The sequence below is a fragment of the Homo sapiens genome, chromosome 16 (genome assembly GCF_000001405.40).
Source record: "Homo sapiens chromosome 16, GRCh38.p14 Primary Assembly".
NCBI lineage: Eukaryota > Metazoa > Chordata > Mammalia > Primates > Hominidae > Homo > Homo sapiens.
Window position 1 is genome coordinate 84,927,771 of NC_000016.10, and position 23,394 is coordinate 84,951,164.

At 52.8% G+C, this 23,394-nt stretch overlaps 1 long non-coding RNA gene across 3 annotated transcripts, besides 2 other annotated features; it reads left to right on the top strand.

The window, feature by feature from the left end:
* Positions 1-204: 204 nt before the first annotated feature.
* Positions 205-15,287, top strand: LINC02176 (long intergenic non-protein coding RNA 2176). 3 transcript variants are annotated; one of them, XR_933830.2, is made up of 4 exons: positions 205-835; positions 10,165-10,286; positions 14,089-14,187; positions 15,130-15,287. It is a non-coding gene; the product is annotated as a long intergenic non-protein coding RNA 2176 (long non-coding RNA). The 3 variants fall into 3 exon arrangements; XR_933832.3 differs by lacking the exons at positions 14,089-14,187; positions 15,130-15,287 and adding an exon at positions 11,611-11,649; XR_933831.2 differs by lacking the exons at positions 205-835; positions 10,165-10,286 and adding an exon at positions 11,842-12,029.
* Positions 20,334-20,834: an enhancer, noted in NCBI's record as "H3K27ac-H3K4me1 hESC enhancer chr16:84981710-84982210 (GRCh37/hg19 assembly coordinates)". NCBI's record gives its function as "activates a minimal SCP1, AML or CMV promoter by ChIP-STARR-seq in primed H9 embryonic stem cells {active_cell/tissue: H9 hESC(primed)}" and the evidence as "EXISTENCE:reporter gene assay evidence [ECO:0000049][PMID:30033119]".
* Positions 20,835-21,335: an enhancer, noted in NCBI's record as "H3K27ac-H3K4me1 hESC enhancer chr16:84982211-84982711 (GRCh37/hg19 assembly coordinates)". NCBI's record gives its function as "activates a minimal SCP1, AML or CMV promoter by ChIP-STARR-seq in naive H9 embryonic stem cells {active_cell/tissue: H9 hESC(naive)}" and the evidence as "EXISTENCE:reporter gene assay evidence [ECO:0000049][PMID:30033119]".

The following is a 23,394-nucleotide window of genomic DNA, read 5'->3' on the forward strand; positions in this document are numbered from 1 at the left end:
TCCATGAAGCCAGCTCCAGGGAGGTCTGGCCTTGAGCCTGCCCCGGCCTTATCTCCGAGAGGATATGTTCTCGCCCTACTCCAAGTGTTTGTCCAGAAGACCAAGGCCCAGGCAGGGTCCCGAAAAGGGAAGCGACACCCTTCAGTGATGAGAGGGAAGCGTCCGCAGCCCAGCCCTGGCAGAGTCACGGAGAGAACGGATGGGGCTCCTGGCACAAGGACCCTGCGTCTTCTGTCCCCTCCCTCACTCAGACCCTCCCACAGGGTGCCCTCGCCATCCCATTGACCTTCAGGCTGTGAGGGTGGCCTTTGGGTTCCCCGCCTTGGCCCCTGGCCACCTGCACGTCCTGCCCCTCCTCCCACTCCCAGGCGCCTCTGGGCCTCCGCTCAGGCCGTCAAACCCAGCTCCACCAGGCCCCGGCCGTGTGCCCTTGGACAAGTGCCGTCTCCAGAGCCTCAGCCCCCTGTTTGCAAGAGCTTGTGAGCTAAAGCGTGCCAGGCCCTGAGTGCGAGGCTGGGATGAACTGGCATTCCTGCTGGCTCTGGCCTCTGGGACAGCACCTCCTCCAGCTCACTGCCCTCCACCCTTCCAGCTACAGCTCCCTCCGGTGCCCCAGAACCGCCCGGCACTCCGGGGCTCCCAGGTTCATCTGGGCATGACTCCGCCCTCCCGACAGAGCCCTCTGCACACCCCCTCCCCACCCTGGCCCATCGCAGCTCTTCACGAAGACGCTTCATGGAATGGGTGATTTTCCTAAGCACTTTTCTTTCCATGATCTCATTTGGTCCTCACAGCACCTGGAGGAGGGCAGACAGGCTGTTGCTCCATTTTACAGGTAAGAAACGGAGGCTCGGAGCCCTGGGCTCCAGGCCAGCCTTCTCCCCTTCAGCTTCAGGGGGTTTCAAGATGGGGGAAGAGGGGCGCTGGCCAGGGGTTAAATGGTCTGCTGTCCACAGCCCCTGCATGGCCTATTACTCAGAACGGTCCTTTGAAAAGACACCCTTTAAACAAAGCCTCCCAGCCCAGCCAGGGGGAGCGGTGCCATTTCCCTGGGCCTGGCTTGACCCATCCCAAGGGTGGGGCTGTGCATTCGCTGACTCAGTCCTGGTCCTGGGCCGGGGATCCGGCCAGAGCCAGAGCCGCTCAGCCTCCCTGGCCCAGCCTCAGACCCACAGCACCGGCTCAGTTTATCTTCCTTGTCAGGAAAAGAGGGAAGTGGCCCTAGGGACGCTAAGGGCCACTCTTCTGGAAGAAAATGTGGACAAGCTGTTCAGGCCAGTGAGAAGGGATGGTTCTTTGCAGCCAGTTCCTGCAACAGCCCAGAAACAGAAAATAGAGCCGCCCAGGGGCTTCGATGCCAAGCCAGACCCGGGTCTGCACCCAGCTCCTCCAGCTCCCAGCACCGTGACCTTGGGAGACCTTGGGAGACCTTGGGAACCCCTCCAGCCCGTTTCCTTATCTACAAAATGGAGAAAAGGCTGCCTAATAATTATCCTTGTAGGGAAGGGCAATCAGGATGTTGAAAGGAGGTTGTGTAGTCTAGGAAATGTTGGGCACAGTGCCAGACACATAAGTAGTCCTCGAAGAACGTCACTTATTTTTAAAAAGCTTGCTTATTGGTAAAATTCACCAGAAATCCTCCAGGGAGAGGCAGAGTGAGAAAAAACTACATTGCCAGAGTAGGGGGTTATGGGGGAACCCTCGGTGAGGGAGGAGCAGGAGAAGTGGATGCTGCGATGCCGCCGGATGCTGCGGATGCTGTGGCCATGAGCGAGGGTGGGACCCCCAGCAGCCAGCAGGACGGGGAGGTGGTGCCTGGCACGGGGAGGGGCATGGAGAGGAGGAAGGGGAGAAGGGCCAAGTGAGCCTCCAATCTGAGTGATCTGGGGCCATGTAAGAGGTTTTTAGGGGGTTGGGGGGTAGTCAGTGGGCCTGAGTAACTCTGACACGATCCCATCAGAGAGCAGGAGCAGGGGAAGCGGTGTTCAAGAGCTGTTGTCGTGGCGGGAGGTTGGTCTCACTTGGATGTTCTTTCAAAGTCCCTTGGCAGTTGCAAAGCAGAGATTGAAACTTTCTTCAACATCTGCCCGGGTTGCACATTTCTGTCCTCAGCTGATGGTAGGAAGGCCTGGCGGAAGGCCCCAAAAGGAGGGAAACACACCAAGGGCCGGGTCTCAGTCAGGGTGCAGCCCCCACACGCAGATCAGGACCCAGAGGAGTCATGGAGAGCCCAGGCTGCCGCCCCCACGCTCTCAAGCCAGAAGGAGCCTTGGGGTTAAGCGGGGGCGTGTGTTCCCCGGCACACGTGTTCATTCCTAAGGCCACCCCAGCCAACGGCTGCAAATGCAGAGGCTGAAACCAGCCTAACACGTGGAAGGCCCCAGGGCCACGCCATTCAGTGTGATTTCAGCGCCGCGTTAATGGGGGGAATGTCGCTTCCCGGCTGGGGCCCCTGTGTGTGCGGCGTCTGCACGCTCCCGTGTCTGCGTGGGTTTTCTAGGGGCACTCCGCTTTCCTCCTACATCAAAGATGGGATGTGAAGGAAATGGCACGTCTGCGTGGTGCCAGCCTGAGTGGCTGTGAGTGTGGGTGAGTGGGTGTGGGTGTGTGGGTGTGGTGAGTGGGTGTGGGTGTGGGTGAGTGGGTGTGGGTGTGAGTGGTGTGGGAGTGGGTGAGTGGGTGTGAGTGAGTGTATGGGTGTGAGTGGGTGTGGGTGAGTGGGTGTGTGTGGGTGTGAGTGTGGGTGAGTGGGTGTGGGTGTCAGTGGGGGTGTGGGTGTGGATAAATGGGCGTGGGTGAGTGGCTGTGAGTGTGGGTGAGTGGGTGTGGGTGAGTGGGTGTGGGTGTGGATGAATGGGTATGGGTGTGGGTGAGTGGATGTGGGTGAATGGGTATGGGTGAGTAGGTGTGGGTGACAGTGTGAGTGGCTGTGAATGGGTGTGGGAGTGGGTGTGGGTGAGTGGCTGTGGATGTGGGTGAGTGGGTGTAGTTCAGTGGGTGTGAGTGGGTGTGGGTGTGAGTGGGTAGGGGTGTGGGTGAGTGGGTGTGAGTGGGTGTGGGTGAGTGGGCGTGGGTGAGCGGGTGTGGGTGTGAGTGGGTAGGGGTGTGGGTGTGGGTGAGTGGGTGTGGGTGAGTGGGCATGGGTGTGAGTGGGTGTGGGTGAGTGGGCCTGGGTGTGGATAAGTGGGTGTGGGCATGGGTGTGGATGTGGGCGTTGGTGAGTGGGTGTGGCAAGGGCATGGTGTGGGCATGGGCATGGCTGTGTTGAGTCGGGGAGATTCATCCCTTGCTTGCCTTTTCCAGCTTCCTAGAGGTCACCCGCATCCCTTGGCTCATGGTCTCCTTCCTCCGTCTTCAAAATGCATCACTCCAACCTCAGAGTCTATTGTCCCATCTCCCCTCTGACTCTGACCCCCTCACCTCCCTCTTAGAAAGGGCCCCTGTGATGACATTGGGCTCGCCCAGTTAATTCAGGAAAACCTCCCCATCCAAAGGTCCTCAACTTAATCACATTTGCCTTTCCTTCCTTCCCACTATCTGGGATGTAGACATGATGGCAGGAGCTGAAGCAACCACTTTGGATCCAGAGGTTAAAAAACCATGTGCTGTGCCCTTAGATTCTGACACTGGAGAAATTCTTAAAAATTAAAAATAACAACAGCAAAGCAAACCCCACGTGTTGAAGCTAGCAGAGCTGGCCTCCCAGCCCCGGGCCACCTCCCTCTGTGCTATCGGAGAGAAACAAGCATCTATCTTGTTTAGGATCGTGTACTACAGGGCCTCTTTTTCACCACAGCTTACACAGTGACTAGCTCAGACCCTTGGGCCTCTGTGTCTGAGATGTGCCTCCGGTGAACTCCCCGGGCCTCTGCCTCCTCTCTCCTGCTCCTCACCACTGCTGAGCTTGTGGAAAGTGCAGGCAAGATGATCAAATTCCTTGTGACTCAGGCAGAGAGGGAGACTTGCCCACAGCCCTGGCCACGGACCTGCAGCATCAGCTTTGGGACCCCTGGGAGCTGGTTAGAAATGCTGATGCTCTGGTTCCAGCTCAAACCTTGTGCATTGACCTTCGAATTGTAATGAGCCCTCAACCAGTGGGCCTGCACGCTGCCGCTGGAGAAGCTCCGGGCTCAGCCCTGCAGAGTTTCGCATCGTCCCTATCCCCTCCCACTCCTTTCACCCCAAGTTACTGGACTTCCAGCTGCACCCCAAATCCCTAGGGCTATTCAGGCCCCCATGAGGGAGGTGGGCTGCAGGCAGGTCTAGACTCCCCATCTGTGCTCTAATGAAGGCAATACCACATTTTCTGTTTTATTCGACAGGGCTCTGCATAAGATTAATTTGCTCAAGTAGAGAAGTCAGCAAGTCCTCATCCTGACTAACGTTCACTTTGGGGAATGCTGGAGGCTGGCAGGGCCTGAGGCAGCAGAGGCAGTGGCTGCAGGGAGCTGCGGGAACCCAGGTTCGCTGCCTTACATCCATAACTGACAATCCCCTAGCTTCCTTTGGAGGAAGCTAACTCCGTGGAGTCTCATCTCCAGGTGCATTTGACACCGTTATTTCTGTTTAGCTAGTGTTGGTTTTAGGTGATTTCAATGCATTTATTTAGTGGTTGAATGTTTACTACTTGCCAGGCCCTGATCTCTGTGTCGGGAATACCCCACTGGTGACAACCAGTCAACTTTCCTCCTGCAGGCTGTGTCTTAGTGCCGGAGATAGACAATTAACACATAAGACAGATGGTGCGTCAGTGGACACACCTGCTCCAGGGAAAAAAGGGGAAGGGGAGCTTCCTGGAAGAGGAAGAAAGTGGAAGGCCCCACGGGTACAATTACACTGAGCAGCAGAGAAAGAGGTGAGGGTATGAGTCCAGGGAAGAGATGTCCAGGCAGAGGGAAGAGCCAGTGCAGGGGCCCTGAGGTCAGAGCATCCTGGTGTTTGCCAAACCTCAAGGCTGGCCAGAACATCCTGGCTGGAGTAAGGGGAGGCAGCAGGAAGGACACCAGGAGAGTGGGCAGGCACGGGTTCATGGGAGCAGCTGGTCTGGCCTAGCAGATGCTGCTGGAGGCCCCAGCTGTGCCCCTCTGAATGCACAGTGTGGCTCATGCCAGCGGCTTCTTTCCTGCAGTCCCTGAGGGCTTTCTCTGACTGCAGGAGCAAACTCAGGGTTCGTAAGGGGCTGGCCAAAAGGGCTGGAGAGGAGGGTGCCTAACTCATTCCCGTCTGCCCAGGGCATTCCTGGTTTCAGCATTGAAAGTCCCACGTCCCAGACAACCCCTCAGTGCCAGGCAATCTGGGACAGCTGGTCACCCTACGAGGAGCTGATGTCCCCAGAGCAGCCCTCCAGCAAGGAAGGTCAAGAACAGGTGTGGATGGCCGGGCCCAATGGCTCATGCCGGTAATCCCAGCACTTTAGGAGGCCAAGAGGGGCGGATTGCTTTGAGCTCAGGAGTTTGAGACCAGCCTGACCAACATGGTGAAATGCTGTCTCTACAGAAAATACAAAAATTAGCTAGGTGTCGGTGGCTCGCACCTGTAGTCCCAACTACTTGGGAGGCTGAGACTGGAGAATTGCTTGAGCCCAGGAAGCAGAGATTGCGGTGAGCTGAGATCGCACCACTGCACTCCAGCCTGGGTGACAGAGTGAGACCCCATCTCAAAAAAAAAAGAAAGAATGGGTGTAGAAACACCAGCTCCCTGCCCCATACGTGGATGACTCTGAGGCACGTTCTAGTCACCCCTGGAGCCCCCAGCAGGCACCCCACTCTTTATTGCCTTCCCCACCCTGCCTTACTTCCCCATTCCCTCACCTGTGCTCCCTGGGAGCACCTCCCTCTCCTTAAACTATTCGTACTCAATTCCTTGCTTCAGGCTCTGCTTCTGGGGGACCCAATCTCAAACACAAGGAAGAAGGGCTCATGACTATTTGGAGGGTCTAGGCCACCGCTTTGAGCTGCCCCTGACTTGTCAGGAAGGTTCTTGAAATTTTGGGCTGTCCTTGTCATGAGGGCCCTCTAGCCCTGTGCAAAGTCCTGGCCTTGAATCAGAGCACGTCACAGCTGAGAAGCAGGAATACGGTGCATGCCAAGCACTGAGGTCACCCCCGAGTGCTCTGCCACGGCCACCTCGCCCTCCGACCCCTTCCGCAGCCCGTCCTCAGCGGGAGGTGGCCAGATCACAGCTGTGGGGAGCTGTCTGTGTCCTCAGGCGCACTGCTGGGAACCCCTGGGCTAGGGGGTGGCTCCTGCCCGCTGCCAGGCTATCCGCCGCCCAGCCGGTATCCCAGTGCTGACTCTGGCCTGCCTGCCTGGCGTGGCTTCCGGCCTGTCGTCAGCTGCTTGGTCTGGAGCCTAGGGGCTGACCTTGGCCTGTCAGCCTGGCCTGCACTTGTTCTGTTTCCTTTGCCCGGCTCTGCCGATGCTGAGCTCAACTTGCTTTCTTGGCCTTCAGCCCCTGGCCTCCCTCTCTCCATTGCCAGGGGGAGGCCAGATGAGATGATGAACTTAGCAGGGCAGCCTGCGGCCCTCTTCTGTGCTGTGACCTGGCAGGGGCTTTGGTCCAGCCAGTCACACATGGGCGAGGGTGGCCTTCCCCAGCCAGCCAGGTGGCCCCTGCTGTTCTGTGCCAAGCCTGGGGGGTGCCGTGTGATCACAACCCCCAGAAACAGTGGACACTGGAGCACAACTCCCCACACACCAAGCAGACGGGTCCTCGAGGTGTCTGTGAGTCACGACTCACAGCTGCAGCTACCTCCCCGCATTCACGGCAAAACTCAAGCCTCCCTCCAGCCAGCCCAGACCCTGGTCCTTGCTGCTGGGAGCTGCAGGAAAACCTGTCCTCGTTCAGTTCCAACTCTAACGAGCGTTCCAGAAGCCCTTTCCCACCACCTGAATTTCATCCTGCACCAATGCCAGCTCACCGAAAGTTCTTTTTTTCTCCAGCTAACTTCACTGAATTGGCTAAATAACAATTTTGTTTTTTTGATCACGGCCATAAAAGAATGACTTGACTGGAGATTTGAAAATCACTTTTCCTTCTCTTTCCTTTTTTTTTTTTTGAGATGGTCTCGCTCAGTCACCCAGGCTGGAGTACAGTGGCGCCATCTCGGCTCACTGCAACCTCCACCTCCCAGGCTCAAGGGATCTTCCCACCTCACCCTCCCTAGTAGCTGGAACTACAGGCACGCACCACCACGTCTGGCGGTTTTAAAATATACATTGTGGGCCACGGGGTGGCTCGCACCTGTAATCCCAGCACTTTGGGAGGCTGAGGCGGGCGGATCACCTGAGGTCAGGAGTTCGAGACCAGCCTGACCAACATGGAGAAACCCCATCTCTACTAAAAATATAAAATTAGCCTGGCGTGGTGGTGGCGCATGCCTGTAATCCCAGCTACTCGGGAGGCTGAGGCAGGAGAATCGCTTGAACCCGGGAGGCAGAAGTTGCAGTGAGCCAAGATTGCGCCACTGCACTCCAGCCTGGGCAATAAGAGCGAAACTCCATCTCAAAAAATAAACAAATTAATTAATTAATTAATTTAAAAATATATTTTGTAGAGACGGGGTTTCAGCTTGCTGCTCAGTCTGGTCTTGAATTCCTGGCCTCAAACCATCCGTCCGCCTTGGCCTCCCAAAGTGATTTGACTCCTGGCTGCAAACCACTATTTTCTAAAGGAGAGTCCCATTTTCTTTCAGATGAAAAGATTATTTTAGAACCAAAGACAACTTTGCCTTTAATGGGATGAGCCCTTAACAAGTGAATCCCACATCCTTTTTTGAATCTCAGTTATTTCATCTATAATAAGTCTGTTTTATGTCCAAAATTCAAATCTAGGTGTTTTCAGTTCCTGCTGGAACCTTTGCAATGTGAATGGATTTATGAAGCACAGTAAAGAAAACGCCCTTGTTCTTGGCCGTGTTCACATTATAGAAGAAGTAGAAACTCCTGGCCGGGCGCGGTGGCGCACGCCTATAATCCCAGCACTTTGGGAGGCCGAGGCGGGTGGATCATGAGGTCAGGAGATCGAGACCATCCTGGCCAACACGGTGAAACCACATCTCTACTAAAAATACAAAAATTAGCTGGGCGTGGTGGTGGGCGCCTCTAATCCCAGCTACTCGGGAGGCTGAGGCAGGAGAATCGCTTGAACCAGGGAGGCGCAGGTTGCGGTGAGCCAAGATGACACCACTGCACTCCAGCCTGGTGAAGAGCAAGACTCTGTCTCAAAAAAAAAAAAAAAAAAAAAAGAAGAAGAAGAAGAAGTAGAATTGGATTGGTTGTGACATCAAGAAAGGCTAAATGCTGATGTGATTATTACCCATTGTATGCCGGTTTCAAACAATCTCATGGGCCCCATAAATATATATACCTACTATGTACCCACAAAAATTAAAAATTAAAAAATTTTATTTAAGAAAAAGAATAGCAGGCTGGGCACAGTGGCTCACGCCTGTATTCCCAGCACTTTGGGAGGCCGAGGTGGGTGGATCATGAGGTCAGGAGATCGAGACCATCCTGGCTAACAAGGTGAAACCCCGTCTCTACTAAAAATACGAAAAATTAGCCGGGCGCGGTGGCGGGCGCCTGTAGTCCCAGCTACTCGGGAGGCTGAGGCAGGAGAATGGCGTGAACCCGGGAAGCGGAGCTTGCAGTGAGCCAAGATTGCGCCACTGCAGTCCGCAGTCCGGCCTGGGCGACAGAGTGAGACTCCGTCTCAAAAAAAAAAAAAAAAAAAAAAAAAAGACGTTTAAGACCAGCCTGGACGACATAGTGAAACCCCATCTCTACTAGAAATACAACAGTCAGCTGGGCATGGTCACGGGTGCCTATAATCCCGGCTACTTGGGAGGCTGAGTAACGAGAATCACTTGAACCTGGGAGGCGGAGGTTGCAGTGAGCCAAGATTGCGCCACTGCACTCCTGCCTGGGTGACAAGAGCGAGACTCCATCTCAAAAAAAAAAAAAAAGAAAGAAAGAAGAAGAAAAATAATTGTTACCATTTTTCTTTAATTTAACTTCTAGGTTCAAGGGTGCATGTGCTGGTTTGTTACATAGGCAAAATGTACTGGTTTGTTATATAGGCAAACTGTGCCATGGGGGTTTGGCGTACAGATAATTTTGTCACCTGGGCCAGGCGTGGTGGCTCACACCTATAATCCCAGCACTTTGGGAGGCCGAGGTGGGCAGATCACTTGAGGTCAGGAGTTTGAGACCAGCCTGGCCAACATGGTGAAGCCCCCTCTCCACTAAAAGTACAAAACTTAGCTGGGTGGGGTGGCAGGTGCCTGTAGTCCCAGATACTTGGGAGCTGAGGCAGGAGAATTGCTTGAACCTGGGAGGCAGAGATTGCAGCAAGCCAAGATGGCGCCACTACACTCCAGTCTGGGCAACAGGGTGAGACTCCATCTCAGAAAAAAAAAAAAAGATAATTTTGTCACCCAGGTAATAAGCATAATGCCCAATATGAATTGTCCTGCTCCACTCCTTCCTCCCACCCTCGTCCCAACTTCCTCCCCACCTCCTCCCGCCCTCCTCCCTTGAGCAGGTCCCAGCGGCTGCTGCTCCCCCATAGCGTCCATGTGTTGTCACCACTGAGTTCCCACTTACAAGTGTGAACATGCTTCCATTGCTCAGTGTTTACAAATGCCATGTCCAGTCTCAGTTAATGCTCGTAACATCCATAGGAGGGGAACTGACTACTGTCCCCATTTTACAATTGAAGAAACAGGGCTCAGAGAGGTTAAGTTACTTGCCCAAGAGCACACAGCAAGATTCAGACCTCCACCTTCCAGGGGGCCAGAGGTGCCCTGGGTAACTCATTCTGGAATAGCTGAGGTTCCTTTTGGAATCAGCATTTTTTGACCCTTCTGTCTTCTTGTGGGTTTTGTTTTTCCAAATCAAAACCAGTTGTTGTTGTTTTGATTTAATTGGGTCCTGGTAAGACTTCCCCAAAGCAGGAAACGATGTTTTTCCAGAATAAATGAAAACAGTTTACACAACAATTGTCAAATGCTGTAACAGGAAATAAATCATATAGAATAACGCTGAGGAGCTGAAATGAATCTGTGTGAGCAGCTGAGTTTAACCCCAAAATGTTCCAGCTTTTATGAAAACATCTTTCCCCTCTTTTTACATGTTTGTTTCCATTTTATTTTTTCTTGCACAGATTTTCCAGACCAGGCTTTCTGAGAGGCTGTTAATGAGCCAAACCATTCTGCTAACCGTCGTTTTCAGAAGGGCCACCCGGCTCACGGTTCTCTTTATTCAGGCAAAGCCATCAAGACCCCGGTGAGTATTGTCCAAATGTCTCGCAGTTCATCAGCGTTCTCCGCATCAGGATTCCAGATGTGGGGGCCCCCTCCCATAGAGAGGCCACAGGCCATTCTGTCAGCCTGGGCCCCCGAAAGCCCTCCCTGTTAGGATCCCCATCCCTGTCCTCCTGAATCTAGGAGGCTCAGAAATCTGAATTTCGATGTACACCCCGTTTTATACCCCCTACCCTTTTTTTTTTTTTTTTTTTTGAGACAGAGTCTCACTCTGTCGCCAAGTTGGAGTGCAGTGGTGCGATCTTGCCTCCCTGCAACCTCCACCTCCCGGGTTCAAGCGATTCTCCTGCCTCAGCCTCCTGAGTAGCTGGGACTACAGGCACACACCACCATGCCCAGCTAATTTTTGTATTTTTAGTAGAGACGGGGTTTCACCATGTTGGCCAGGATGGTCTCGATCTCTTGACCTGGTGATCTGCCTGTCTCTGCCTCCCAAAGTGCTGGGATTACAGGCATGAGCCACGGCGCCTGGCCGACCCCCTGCTGTCTTAAAGAAAACCTGGGCAGGCCGGGCACGGTGGCTTACGCCTGTAATCCCAGCACTTTGGGAGGCTGAAGCAGGAGGGTCACCTGAGGTCAGGAGTTCAAGACCAGCCTAGTCAACAGGGTGAAACCCTATCTCTACTAAAAATACAAAAATTAGCCAGGCATAGTGGCAGGAGCCTGTAATCCCAGCTACTGGGAAGGCTGAGGCAGAAGAATCGCTTAAACCTGGGAGGCAGAGGTTGCTGTGAGCCACCCACAGCCTGGGTGACAAGAGTGAGACTCTGTCTCAAAAAAGAAAAAAAAAACCTGGGCAGACAGAATCGTGTACCCAGGAAGGAATTGTAATCGTGTACCCAGGAAGGAATTGTAATCGTGTACAATTCCTTGAGTCCAGCTAGGAGCTGAGGCCTCTGTGTGGGTGAGTTCGCTGAGGAAAGGGTTCTTGGGATGATGGAGTACTCTGGCCACCCCCGACCCCAGCTCAGACCAGCCCAGCCCAGTGGGCAGCAATGCCTGGCCCAGAGAACAAACCTCTGAAGGTTTAAGAGCGGCTGAAGACCTATGAAAAGTGGTCAACTGCAGCTTTCAACGTTGCTGCAACTTCAACAAATGACTTTTACTTGTTTCTACTTCCCTGTACCCAAAACATGAAAAATACACGGAGGAAGAGGTAGGGATTGTGTCAGCCACATGTTCCAAACCCGTTTACATCAGGAGAAACTGAGTAAAGAAAAACCCTGTATCAGGGTTTCCAGTTATCCATCCATCTATTCAAAAAAAAATTTTTTTTTTGGATACAGGGTCTTCCTCTGTGGCCCAGGCTGGAGTGCAGTAGCGCAATCTCGGCTCACTGCAACCTCCACTTCCCGGGTTCAAGCGATTCTCCTGCCTCAGCCTCCTGAGTAGCTGGGATTACAAGCTCCTGCCACCATGCCCAGCTAATTTTTGTATTTTTAGTAGACATGGGGTTTCACCATGTTGGCCAGGCTGGTCTCAAACTCCTGACCTCAAGTGATTCACCCTCCTCGGCCTCCCAAAGTGCTGGGATTAGAAGTGTTAGCCACCGCACCTGGCCTATTCAAAAAATTCTCTATGGAGCTTCCACCATATACAAGGTATGGACAAGCAGGAACTGAACACACACAGCCCTGCCCACCCGGCGCTGACAGCAGGAGAGACAGACCATGCGACTATCGAAGAAACCAGAGCCAGAAAATAGGTGAGCAGTAAAAGCAGATTTTATTGAGGAACTGTTGAAATGAGAGAAGAGACCTCGGTGTAGACCTGGGCTCTGGTCTGAATACAGCGGTGATGAGTGGGGATGTCACCTGGAGCAGAGGTTCAGTGGATGGAAAATGGCTAAGAGGAGGTCAGGCGCAGTGGTTCATGCCTGTAATGCCAGCACTTTGGGAGGCCGAGGCAGGTGGATCACTGGAGGTCAGGAGTTCAAGACCAGCCTGGCCAACATGGTGAAACCCTGTTTCTACTAAAAATACAAAAATTAGGCAGGCTTGGTGGGACACACCTGTAATCCCAGCTACTTGGGAGGTTGAGGCAGGAGAATCGCTTGAACCTGGGAGGCGGAGGTTGCAGTGAGCTGAGATCGCGCCACTGTGCTCCAGCCAAGGTGATAGCGCGAGACTCCGTCTCAAAAAAAGAAAATGACTAAGAGGAAGCATTAGGTGTGGGGGGAAGTTCTGGCTAAACCGATGGAACAGGACTCTCGCCGAAGGCAGGCCAGGTGAACAGACACCCCCGAGGGGCAGTGCCAGGCGAGGAACTGCTCACGCGTCGGGGGTCGGGGAGTTTTCCTAATTGACTCTGGGTTCTTGCTAAAACTGGAAAAAGCCAAGACAAGTGCAGAAGCCCCCAGGCCAAGGCCTCCTGGAGAAGAGGGTTTGGAGGAGCCTGACCAAAGCTTGATCGAGGAGAGGGTCTTTGTCATGATTACTGGGGGCTCTGACCCCGTTTAGGAAGACGGGGACTGTGCCCATGAGATCTGAAGGGGGAAGGGCGTTCTTGAGGCAAGAAGGCTGGGGTGGAATTCCAGACAAAGGCAACAGCACAGGGGCAGGGTGAGTCCAGGTCTGGAGAGATGGCCTGCGGCGAGGCCCCATGCATCCCAGGGAAGGTTCCGGAACACCCTGCACACGCACAGTCTCCACCATCCTCTCTAGGCCTGGCCTCGCATCAGACAGGGCCCTTGTGAGAGCTGCCTCAAATGTGACATTTCCACCAGAGCCCCGGCCCCCGTGCCCGCCTTGCCAGCCTCGGCCTGTGGGGGCTGCCACTCTCCACAGGTCCTCGTCCCTGTCGGCCGAGGGCAGCATTCCCGCAGCGGGGAACGATCAGCAGAGATTGGGAAATAGGGTAACTTGTTCCAGATGTCCGGAGCAAATCCAGGCCTGGCTTCTCTAAGGGACTGTTTGGCTTTCTGAAGTTTACAAACAGCAGGATGAGAGGCCCCTCCTGAGAGGCGGCCAGGACCCCCCGTGTGTGATCATGTGCGTGAGGGGGGCTCAGGGCTGCGGAATGCCATCCAGTGTCACCTGAAGTCCACACACACAGCCTGGGGCCCACGTCCACGCTTCCCCACCCAGGGATGCCGGCCTTGGGAAACCCCCTGTAGGACCAGCTGCCCCCGGCCTCTGGAGGCGTTTGGCAGGTGGGAGGTGTCTGCAAGAGACTGGAGAGGGCTGGAGGAGCTGAGTCGCATCCACTCCCCCAATTCCCTCTCTGCAGGGCCGCATGGGCCAGCTGCGTCCCGTGTCCCCAACCTTACCCTCGGGCCTCAGTGCTGGGCGCTCCTGCCGTTGCCGGCCCTGGTGCTGCCCGTGCGCCGCCTGCGGTGTCCCGGAGCCCACGCATCCCTGCACCTTTGAGCACAGTCCTTTTCCTGAGCGCTCCCTAAATTATCCCAACTCAAGTGTGACTTCGGGGCCTGCTCTTCCCAACCCCCTTCCCCAGTAAGTGGCTTTTGCCTGTGCCTTGATGAACACCTGAAGCGAGACCCAGAGACGCTCAACTCCCCGACAGCCCTGGTTCCAAACCGGAGCTGCAGCAGTTGCTGAGCGCGGCTCCTTCACGCCTTCCTGCCGTGAGCGTTCCTCACCGCCGAGGCTTCCTCCTCCTGCTCCCAAACCGTGTCCACTTTTAGGAGGGGACTTTCTAGAACGTGCTTCCGAACGGTACCTATGTGATGAGGGGCTGAGCATGAAATAAAGACAAGGGCATGAGTGTAGAGGCCAGGCAGACCTGACTCGCCCCTCACTCCCCAGGACCCGGACCTCTCTGGATCTGCATCCTCCCCCTAGTAAAATGGGAGACACACCGCTATCCAGACAACTGGGATTCCTGGACCAGACTTTTCTTTTGAGGTGAGCACACCCGCCCCGCAACCCAGATGGACTAGGGTGACCTTCTCCCCACCCCACTCGCACCTCAACAGGCACATTTCCCCATCTGCCCTTGGGCTGAGTGACACAGTGGCTGGGCCAGGGATGGTTTGACACCGCAGGACATGTCAGCGTATTTTTCCAACATACTCTCCGCCTGACTCATTCAGTGGGAGACACTCACATGAGCTCCCCGCCCGAGAGGCCCTCTGGCACCGCAGACCCAACACATAAACAGGTCCTCTCTCCTTCCAGAAGCTTCTGGAGCCCATTGTGCTTTAGATTCATCCACCCTTCCTCCAGACGCTGGGCATCTCTCTCCTCTCCTCTCCTGCTGACCCCACCATTCGGATGGCGCCTGTCACCCTAACTGTCTGCACACCCCAGGTTCCTCCCCACCCCACCCCTCTGCCCTCCTTTTTGTCTGATTTGCCAACTGGTCCTCCTGGTTCTGCCTTGTCCACTGTGGTGTTTTGTTTTTAGGGTTTTAAAACTAATTTATTTAGGTGAAATCATATAACATAAAAATAACCATTTTAAAGTGATCAATTAATTGGCATTTGGTACTTTTTTTTTTTTTTTTTTTGCAGCCTCAACCTCTTAGGCTCAAGCAATCCTCCCACCTCGGCCTCCTAAGTAGCTGGGATTATAGACACATGCCACCACGCTTGGCTGACATTTTGTAGAGACAGGGTTTTGCCATGCGTCCCTGGCTGGTCTTGAACTCTTGGGTTCAAGACATCTGCCCGCCTTGGCCTCCCAAAGCACCAGGATTACAGGCATGAGCTACTGCCCCCAGCAGCATTCAGTACATTTACAGTTTTGTACAACCAGCACCCCTATCTAGCTCCAAAACACTTCCCTCATCCCACAGTGAAACCCCAAACCCATTAAGCAGTTTCTCCTAATTTCTGTCTCCCCCAGCTCCTGGCAGCCTCCAGTCAGCTTTCTGTCTCTATGGACTGGCCTGTCCTAGACATTCCTTATCAATGGAGTCACACAGTATGTGGTCATTTCGTCTGGCTTCTTTCACTTAGCACCATGGCATCAGGGTTCATCCACATTGTATAACCTGGATCGGTGTTTCATCCCTTTTTTTTTTTTTTTTTTTTTAATTTATTTTGAGATGGAGTCTCACTCTGATGCCCAGGCTGGAGTACAATGGTGCGATCTTGGCTCACTGCAACCTCTGCCTCCCAGGTTCAAGCGATTCTCCTGCCTTAGCCTCCTGAGTAGCTGGGATTACAGGTGCCCGCCACCACACCTGGCTAATTTTTGTATTTTTAGTAGATGGGGTTTCGCCATGTCAGCCAGGCTGGTTTTGAACTCCTGACCTCAAGTGATCTGCCCACCTCAGCCTCCCAAAGTGCTGGGATTGCAGGCTTGAGCCACCACACCCGCCTGTTTCATCCCTTTTTATGGCTGAATAATATTCCGTCACACAGACCACAGTTGTTTATCCATTCATCTGTTGGCGGACTCTTGAGTTCTGTTCACCTTCTCGCTGTGGTGAATAGTGCTATGAACAGGTAAGTGTTTGATACCTGCTTTCAATTCTTCTGGGCCTATACCTGGGAGCAGCATTGTAGGGTCATAGAGTAACTATGTTTAACTTTTTGAGGAATGCACTGTAGCAGTTTATCTTTTGTATTTTGTTTTTTAGAGACAGGGTCTTGCTCTGTCGCCCAGGCTGGAGTGCAGTGGTGTGATCATAGCTCACTGCAGCCTCGACCTCTTGTTTTTGTAGAGACAAGGGTCTTGCTATGTTGCCCAGGCTGATCTTGAACTTTTGGCCCTCAAGTCATCCTCCCACCTCTGCCTCCCAAAGTGCTGGGGTTACAGGAGTGAGTCATTACACTCAGCCCACTGTGGCAGTTTTAAAATATGTTCTCACGTTCTTTGACCTCCTCCCTTTAAAAGGTGGAGCCTAATTCCCATCCCCTTAAGTATGGATCACACACAGTGGTGGCTTCTAACAAATAGAACATGGTGGGAGGGATGCTATGTCGCCTGTAAGGCTAGTCTTACAAGGGCCAGCCTGTGGCTGGCTCCCCTCTTTGCTCCCTCACTCTGGGGAAGCCACAGCCATGTCGTGAGGATGCTCAGACAGCCCATGGGAAGGCCCACGGAGAAGGCAACTGAGGCCTCCTGCCAAGGCCAACGCAGACACGGCAGTCGTGGGAGTGGCCACCCTGGAAGTAGGTCCTCTGGTTGTGATGAAGTCCTCAGGCCAGCATCCTGACCCCAGGAAACCCAAGTCACAACAGCCCCCACTGAGCTATTCCCAAATACCTGGTCCACAGAGACCAAGACAGACAGCAAATGTTTATGACTCAGTTTTAGGGTGACATGTTCCACAGCCATTGATAACTAAGACACCCACCCCCACCCATTCTTCCCACAGCAGCTGGAACCGTCCCATCAAAGATCTCTCCCCATTCTACCAAAAATCCTTCATGGCTCTTATGGTTTCTGGAACAAAATCCAGATTTCTCGTTCTGACTCACATGGCCCCAACTTATCCCTCTGGGCTTGTCTCTTATCTTCTTCAGACACACACACCCCAACTTTAGGCTCCTGGAAGGAATTTTCAGGTTCCCCTAATCACATTTTGTATGTCAATCTTGCCTGGAATGCTTCTTTCTACCTTTCACCAATTCTTATTTATTCTTCAAATAAATCACCTCCCCTAGGAAGTCCTTCCTGAGTCTTCCCTGTAGGGGAAGACTGTAGTCCTGACTTCAGATCCTGCCCTCTCAGTTTCACAGCACCTCACAGAATTCCGTCTTGGATCATTCATCACACTCAACCACAGTGGTTCTTGACCAGTGTGGGGGTGGGTGCTGGAAATGTAGTGGGGACATGGTTGTCACAATAAACCAAACAGAAGAGAACTTTGCCACGTCCAACGCTGCAGCACCTGCTGTTGAGAAACTCCACTGTGTTCTCAGGACTCTGAATGGGCTGGACCAGGCCAAGGTTTGCACAGCAAATGTCTGCAGGGGCTAGAGAGGTCCTGAAAGGAACCACACAGGCTGGGTGGAGAACAGGGAGCAGGGGGCACTGTGGAGGAATGGAGGCCCTTCCCATGCCAAGATCTGCTGGTTCAAGTTTATAAAATGCAATGCTTGTCCACTCTAGGGGACTGGGGCGCCTTGAAGAAAAGGCTGACTCCAGGGCTAGCAGGAACAAAGAGGAGCTGAGAACATCTTATTGCCCCAGAACGTTTTCAAAGAATAATGGGGACACGTCAAAAAGAAGCCAGCCTGCCCCAATCTGGAACAATTTGAACTTCCAAATAAATATGGGAAGGAATTATAACCCACTAAATAAAATAAGATCCTTGAGTCCATGCTGACACAAACAAATGAAAGAATAAACAAATGAGAAAGAAGGGACAGTTCTCTTTTAAAGAAAGCTCCTCTTTAATAACTAATATATCTGCCAGCTAACAAATTCAGCAGTGATATGGTTTGGCTCTGTGTCCCCACCCAAATCTCATGTCGAACTGTAACTCCCAACGTTGGGGGAGGCACCTGTTGGGAGGTGATTGGATGGTGGGGGCAGATAATCCCCCTTGCTGTTCTTGTGATACTGAGTTCTCACGAGATCTGATGGTTTAAAAGTGTGTGGCACTTCCCCCTCACTCTCTCTTTCTCTCTTGCAGCCATGTAAAGAAGGTGCTTGCTTCTGCTTTACCTTCTGCCATGATTGTAAGCTTCCTGAGGCCTCCCAGCCATGCTTCCTATTAAGCCTGCAGAACCGTGAGTCAACTAAACCTCTTTTCTTCATAAATGACTCAGTCTCAGGTAGTTCTTTATAGCAGTGTGACAACGGACTAATACAGTTAGGGATGATGGCATCAGGCCATTCGTGCATGCTAACAACTAGTAATCTTTTTTTTTTTTGAAACAGGGTCTCATTCTGTCACCCAGGCTGCAGTGTGGTGGCACCATCACACCTCACTGCAGCCTTGATTTCCTGGGCTCAAGTGGTCCTCCCACCTCAGCCTCCCAAGTAGCTGGAACTACAGGTGCATGCCACCACAGCAGCTAATTTTTTTTTTTTTTGGTAAAAGTAAAGGAGGGGGGTCTCACCATGTTGCCCAGGCTGGTCTCGAATTCCTGGCCTCAAGCAATCTGCCTGCCTCAGCCTCCCAAAGTGCCGAGATTACAGGCATGAGCCACCATGCCTGGCCAACAATTTTTTGAGTGACAGGATATTTATAGTCTCAAAATGTTTCCCCACAAATTATTTATTATTTACAAAGGGGGAAATAGTGACTTTTCAATGGACACACACTTAATTGATCAAAACTGACATCATCAAAATTGGCACAAACCCACATCATGGGCCTCCTGGATACGATGCCCTGAGGAGGACGTAACCCCATTTCTGTGCTATTCCTAAAATGTGTAGCCTAAGCCTCAGTGAGAGACAAGCTCAAATTGAAGGACATTCTACAAAATAGCTTGTTCATATGCTATGAAAATGTGAGCACGGGCCGGGCACAGTGGCTCACGCCTGTAATCCCAGCACTTTGGGAGGCCGCGGCGAGCGGATCACGAGGTCAGGAGATCGAGACCATCCTGGCTAACACGGTGAAAACCCATCTCTACTAAAAATACAAAAAATTAGCCGGGTGTGGTGGCGGGCGCCTGTAGTCCCAGCTACTGGGGAGGCTGAGGCAGGAGAATGGTGTGAACCCGAGAGGCGGAGCTTGCAGTGAGCCGAGATCCCGCCACTGCACTCCAGCCTGAGCGACAGAGCGAGACTCCGTCTCAAAAGACAAACAAACAAACAAAAACAAAAACAAAAAATAAACAAAAAAGAAAGTGAGCATGATGGAAGACAGAAAGGAGTGGGGTGGAAGGTGTGAGCGAAGAACTAAAGGAGGCTAAAGAGACTTGACAACTCGACCAGTGTGGTGATCCTGGGTCCGATTTTAGATTCAAAAAGGAAAAGAAAACACAGCTATAAAGGACATTATTGGGACAGTCGATGACTTTTGAGCACAAACTAGATTATGAACTAGAACAAAAATGGAGATAATGCAGTTGTGGCAACGTGATTTCCTGAGTTTGGTGATTATATGTGGTTATGTTACCGGAACATCCCTGTTTTCGGAAATTGTACACTGAAGGATTTATAGGTAAGAGGCTGTTGGCCAAGGAGGAACTTGGCCTCTCTCCAGGGACTGTGTCTTCTTCTCAGAGCCGACTGCCATTCACTTAGGAAGTTGTCCTCCAGCCCAAAGAGGCCTAGGGCGGGCTTCCTGCCTGCTGCCTGCTCAGCTGTGGCCTGCACCCCAACACTGGCTTTTCATTCGAGACTCGTCCGTTTAAAAGAGGGCCTGGCCCCCTGCTCTGGCCTATTTTAGCCGCCACAGGCCCCCTGCCATCTGTGAGTGATTTTCCCCCACACTCATCTCTCATTATCAAGAAGCAGGTGGGGTTCGGGCGTGGTGGCTCATGCCTGTAATCCCAGCACTTTGAGAGGCCGAGGCAGGTGGATCACTTGAAGCCAGAAGTTCAAGACCAGCCTGACCAACATGGCAAAACCCCATCTCCACTAAAAATACAAAAATTAGCCAGGCATGGTGACGCACGCCTGTAATCCCAGGTAATTGGGAGGCTGAGGCAGGAGAATAGCTTGAACCTGGGATGCAGAGGTTGCAGTGAGCCATGATCACGCCATTGCACTCCAGCCTGGGTGACAGGGCAAGACCCTGTCTCAAAAAAAAAAAAAAAAAAAAAAAAGAAGCAGAGAAGCAGGCGGGGGCCAGGCTGCACGGCCAACCCTGGGAGGCACTTTGTCTTGATCACACTTTCATCCCCCTCCAGCCCACCCAGGTCAGAAGGGAATGTGGCCAATTTAACTCTGCGGACGGCCCCAAAACCAACCAGGAAGAAGCTGCACGCCTCGGAGCCTCACTGATAGGCACGATTCAGAATGACGCTGGGGATGTTCGTGCAGTCCTGGCCATTTGAGGCTCCACAGGCCCAGCAGGCCAGGCCCTGGCATCAGCACCCATTTACAAAGGGGGAAACTGAGGCTCCCAGGGTTCTTCCTATGCCCGATGCTAACAGAGGTAGCAGGTATTTCCCTCTCTTTCCATATTCAGAATAAAGTTAAGATGCTTCTCCTGGCTGGGCACCATGGCACACTGCCTGTGGTCCCAGCTCCCCGGGGGACTGAGGTGGCAGGATTACGTGAGCTGCTGAGGTCGAGGCTGCAGTGAGCCATGATCATGCCACTGCACTCCAGCCTGGGCGAGAGAGCAAGACCCCATCTCAAAAAAATAAAGAAAGAAAGAAAATTAAAAAAAAAAAAAGATGCTTTTCCTTCCCCAAAGCGTGTACATCGTGTATGTTGTGGATAACGCTGGTAACTCACAGAGGTCCCCACGGATCTCTCGGTGCTGTCGTTCCCGTGGCCAGCACCTGCAAACACCCCTTCCGGGGGCTGCCTTCAGGCTACAGCAGACACCTGGCCAAAGTCCCTCTGGGTCACTCTGCGGCCTGAGGCTGCGGGGTCAGAGGCCCAGCTCCCTTGCCTGAAGACTGCCTCCCGCTTGCCTGCCCACGAATCAGGCTGGGGCTGGGCTGGGGCTGAAATGGGGCCCTGGCCAGGCTTCCTCCGGTCCCTAGCCTGCCCTGCTTCTGCACCCAAAGCCCGCCCGGCCGGGCACTCCCACGGTGCCTGCACGCAGGTCCTCACCTGGGGCTGCGCCTCTAGGGCCTCCCACCTGAGACAGGCGTTGGGACTCTCCCCCAGTGCCTCCCACTGTGGCACATGAGGGGCAGTGCTGACTTCCTCAGTCACTCAGCAGATACTGACTGAGCACCGACCTTGTGCCGGCCAGGACTCCAGGTGCCAGGCGGTGCTGTGGCTATGTGTGTGTGTGTGTGTGTTCCTGTGTAGTTTTGTGTGTGTGTGTCCCTGTGTGGTTTTGTCTGTGTGTGTGTCTCTGTGTGTTTTTTTCCGTGTGTGTGCATGTGTCTGTGTGGTTTGGTCTGTGTGTGCTTGTGTCTGTGTGGTTTTGTCTGTGTGTGTCTCTGTGTGGTTTTGTCTGTGTGTGCATGTGTGAATCTGTGTGGTTTTGTCTGTGTGTGTGTGTGTGTCTGTGTGCTTTTGTCTGTGTCTGTGTGTGTGTGTGTCTGTGGTTTTGTCTGTGTGTGTGCATGTGTCTCTGTGTGGTTTTGTCTGTGTGTGTGTGTGCATGTCTGTGTGGTTTTGTCTGTGTGTGCACGTGTCTCTGTGTGGTTTTGTCTGTGTGTGTGTGCGTGTCTGTGTCTGTGTGTGTCTGTGTGGTTTTGTCTGTGTGTGTGCACGTGTCTCTGTGTGCTTTTGTCTGTGTGTGCGTGTGTGGTTTTGTCTGTGTCTGTGCGTGTCTGTGTGGTTTTGTCTGTGTGTGTGCACATGTCTGTGGTTTTGTCTGTGTGTGTTTGTGGTTTTGTCTGTGTCTGTGTGTGCTTGTCTGTGTGGTTTTGTCTGTGTGTGTGTGCGTGTCTGTGTGGTTTTATGTGTGCATGTGTGCCTCAGGTGCATCTCTGCGTGTGTCTCCGTGTGTGTGGTGGGGTGTGCCTCTCTCTGATGTTTCTACAGGGGAGGAGCAGGTATCAGGTCACACAGGTGCTAAGTCGCAGAACTAGGGTCTAAGCCCGAGTCCTGAGGCTCTCCACCAACCTGTGCCTCTGAGAAAGGAAGCGCGAATCCTCCACCGCGGGGCCTGCGTATCCCTTAGTTTGTATTTGATACTTGCCAAAAGAGCTCTGCGAGACTTATTTAGATTCTTATGAACACTCCGGGCACACGTAAACAAAGGAAACACGAGTGAAATGGGTGGATTACAGAATGTCCTAAACTTCTTCACTTTTGGAGTCTGACTCTCTGAATCACTCCTTAACTCTGAGTGATCAAGGTCCATGTTCTCTCGGTGCCACCAACCATGAGTACAGCAGCAACTCTTCAAGGGCTCCACTCAAGGGCTAAACCTTTGCTTCTTGAACCGGCTTTGCAATTACCGTATTTCATCAAATATGAGCTGCCACTGCAGGTGAGGAGCATCCTGATTCCAGAGACATTAAAATGGAAAGGAGGTGTGTTTCTCCAGTTTGATAAAAAGAGAAAGTGGCCTGGACTCCTTTTGACTCCCACATCCAACTAACACCTCCTTCAGCTTTCTGCACAGCCATGTAATTATCTTCCCAGCTATCCTAGCCCTCTCCCTCTCCCTCCAGGTTGGCATCGGCTCCTAGTTCTCTAAACAGAAGGATGTCCTGCCTCAGGCCTTCGTACATGCTGTTCCTTCCATCTGCACACCATTCCTGAGCCCCACATGACTCCCTCTCTCCCATTGTCCTGGTCTCTGTTCAAATGTCACCTAAGGGCCACCGAGCTGCACAACCTCTGGAGTGCCGTGCCCATCACCCTTCACCCCCTGCCTCAGCTGGACCCATTCCTCACAAGCCAGAGGAATTTTACTCTAATGGTGGAATTTCAGGCCAAGTAGAAAAATATATTTCGTGTGTATGAAGAAAGGGGAAAAAGAACCCTTCTCTGAGACCTCAAGTTATTATTTAATTGATTAATTTTTAGTCATTGATTAAATTATTAAATAACAAATGAAATCAATTGTATTAATTTCTTAGGAGTAAATTATTTTTCCACTGCACTCCAGCCTGGACAACAGAGCAAGACCCTATCTCTAAAAAATTTATATAAATCTATTGCCAATTTATTAATTGCTATTTAACAATGAGTTCCACCAACTGAGGGCGCTGGACCAGGCATGGTATGAACCTAAAGAGCCACACCCTTATGATCTACTGGGCCCAGTAGGGTCTGACCCTGTGACCTGTCTGGGCCCATTCCCAGCGCCTGCTGCTGCAGCCACACCAGCCTTCCCCCAGCTGCCACAGAGCCTTTGCTTCCTGACCACCTTCAAGCACTCCTAGATCTTGGCCCCCTAAGCCAGCTCGGCCCCAGGGTGATTGCACTTTTCCTGCCTTTGGGCAGCAGGTGGTGTATCAGTCAGGACTGGCCACATTGTGCCGCTGTGACAAACAAACCCCAAATCCCAGTGGCTGAAGACAATAAGGATGTGTTCCTTGCTCATTCTCTGTGTCAGAGGCCAGCGGGGGGTTCTGCTCATCATGGACACTAGGGGGCCCCAGCTCAGGGAGT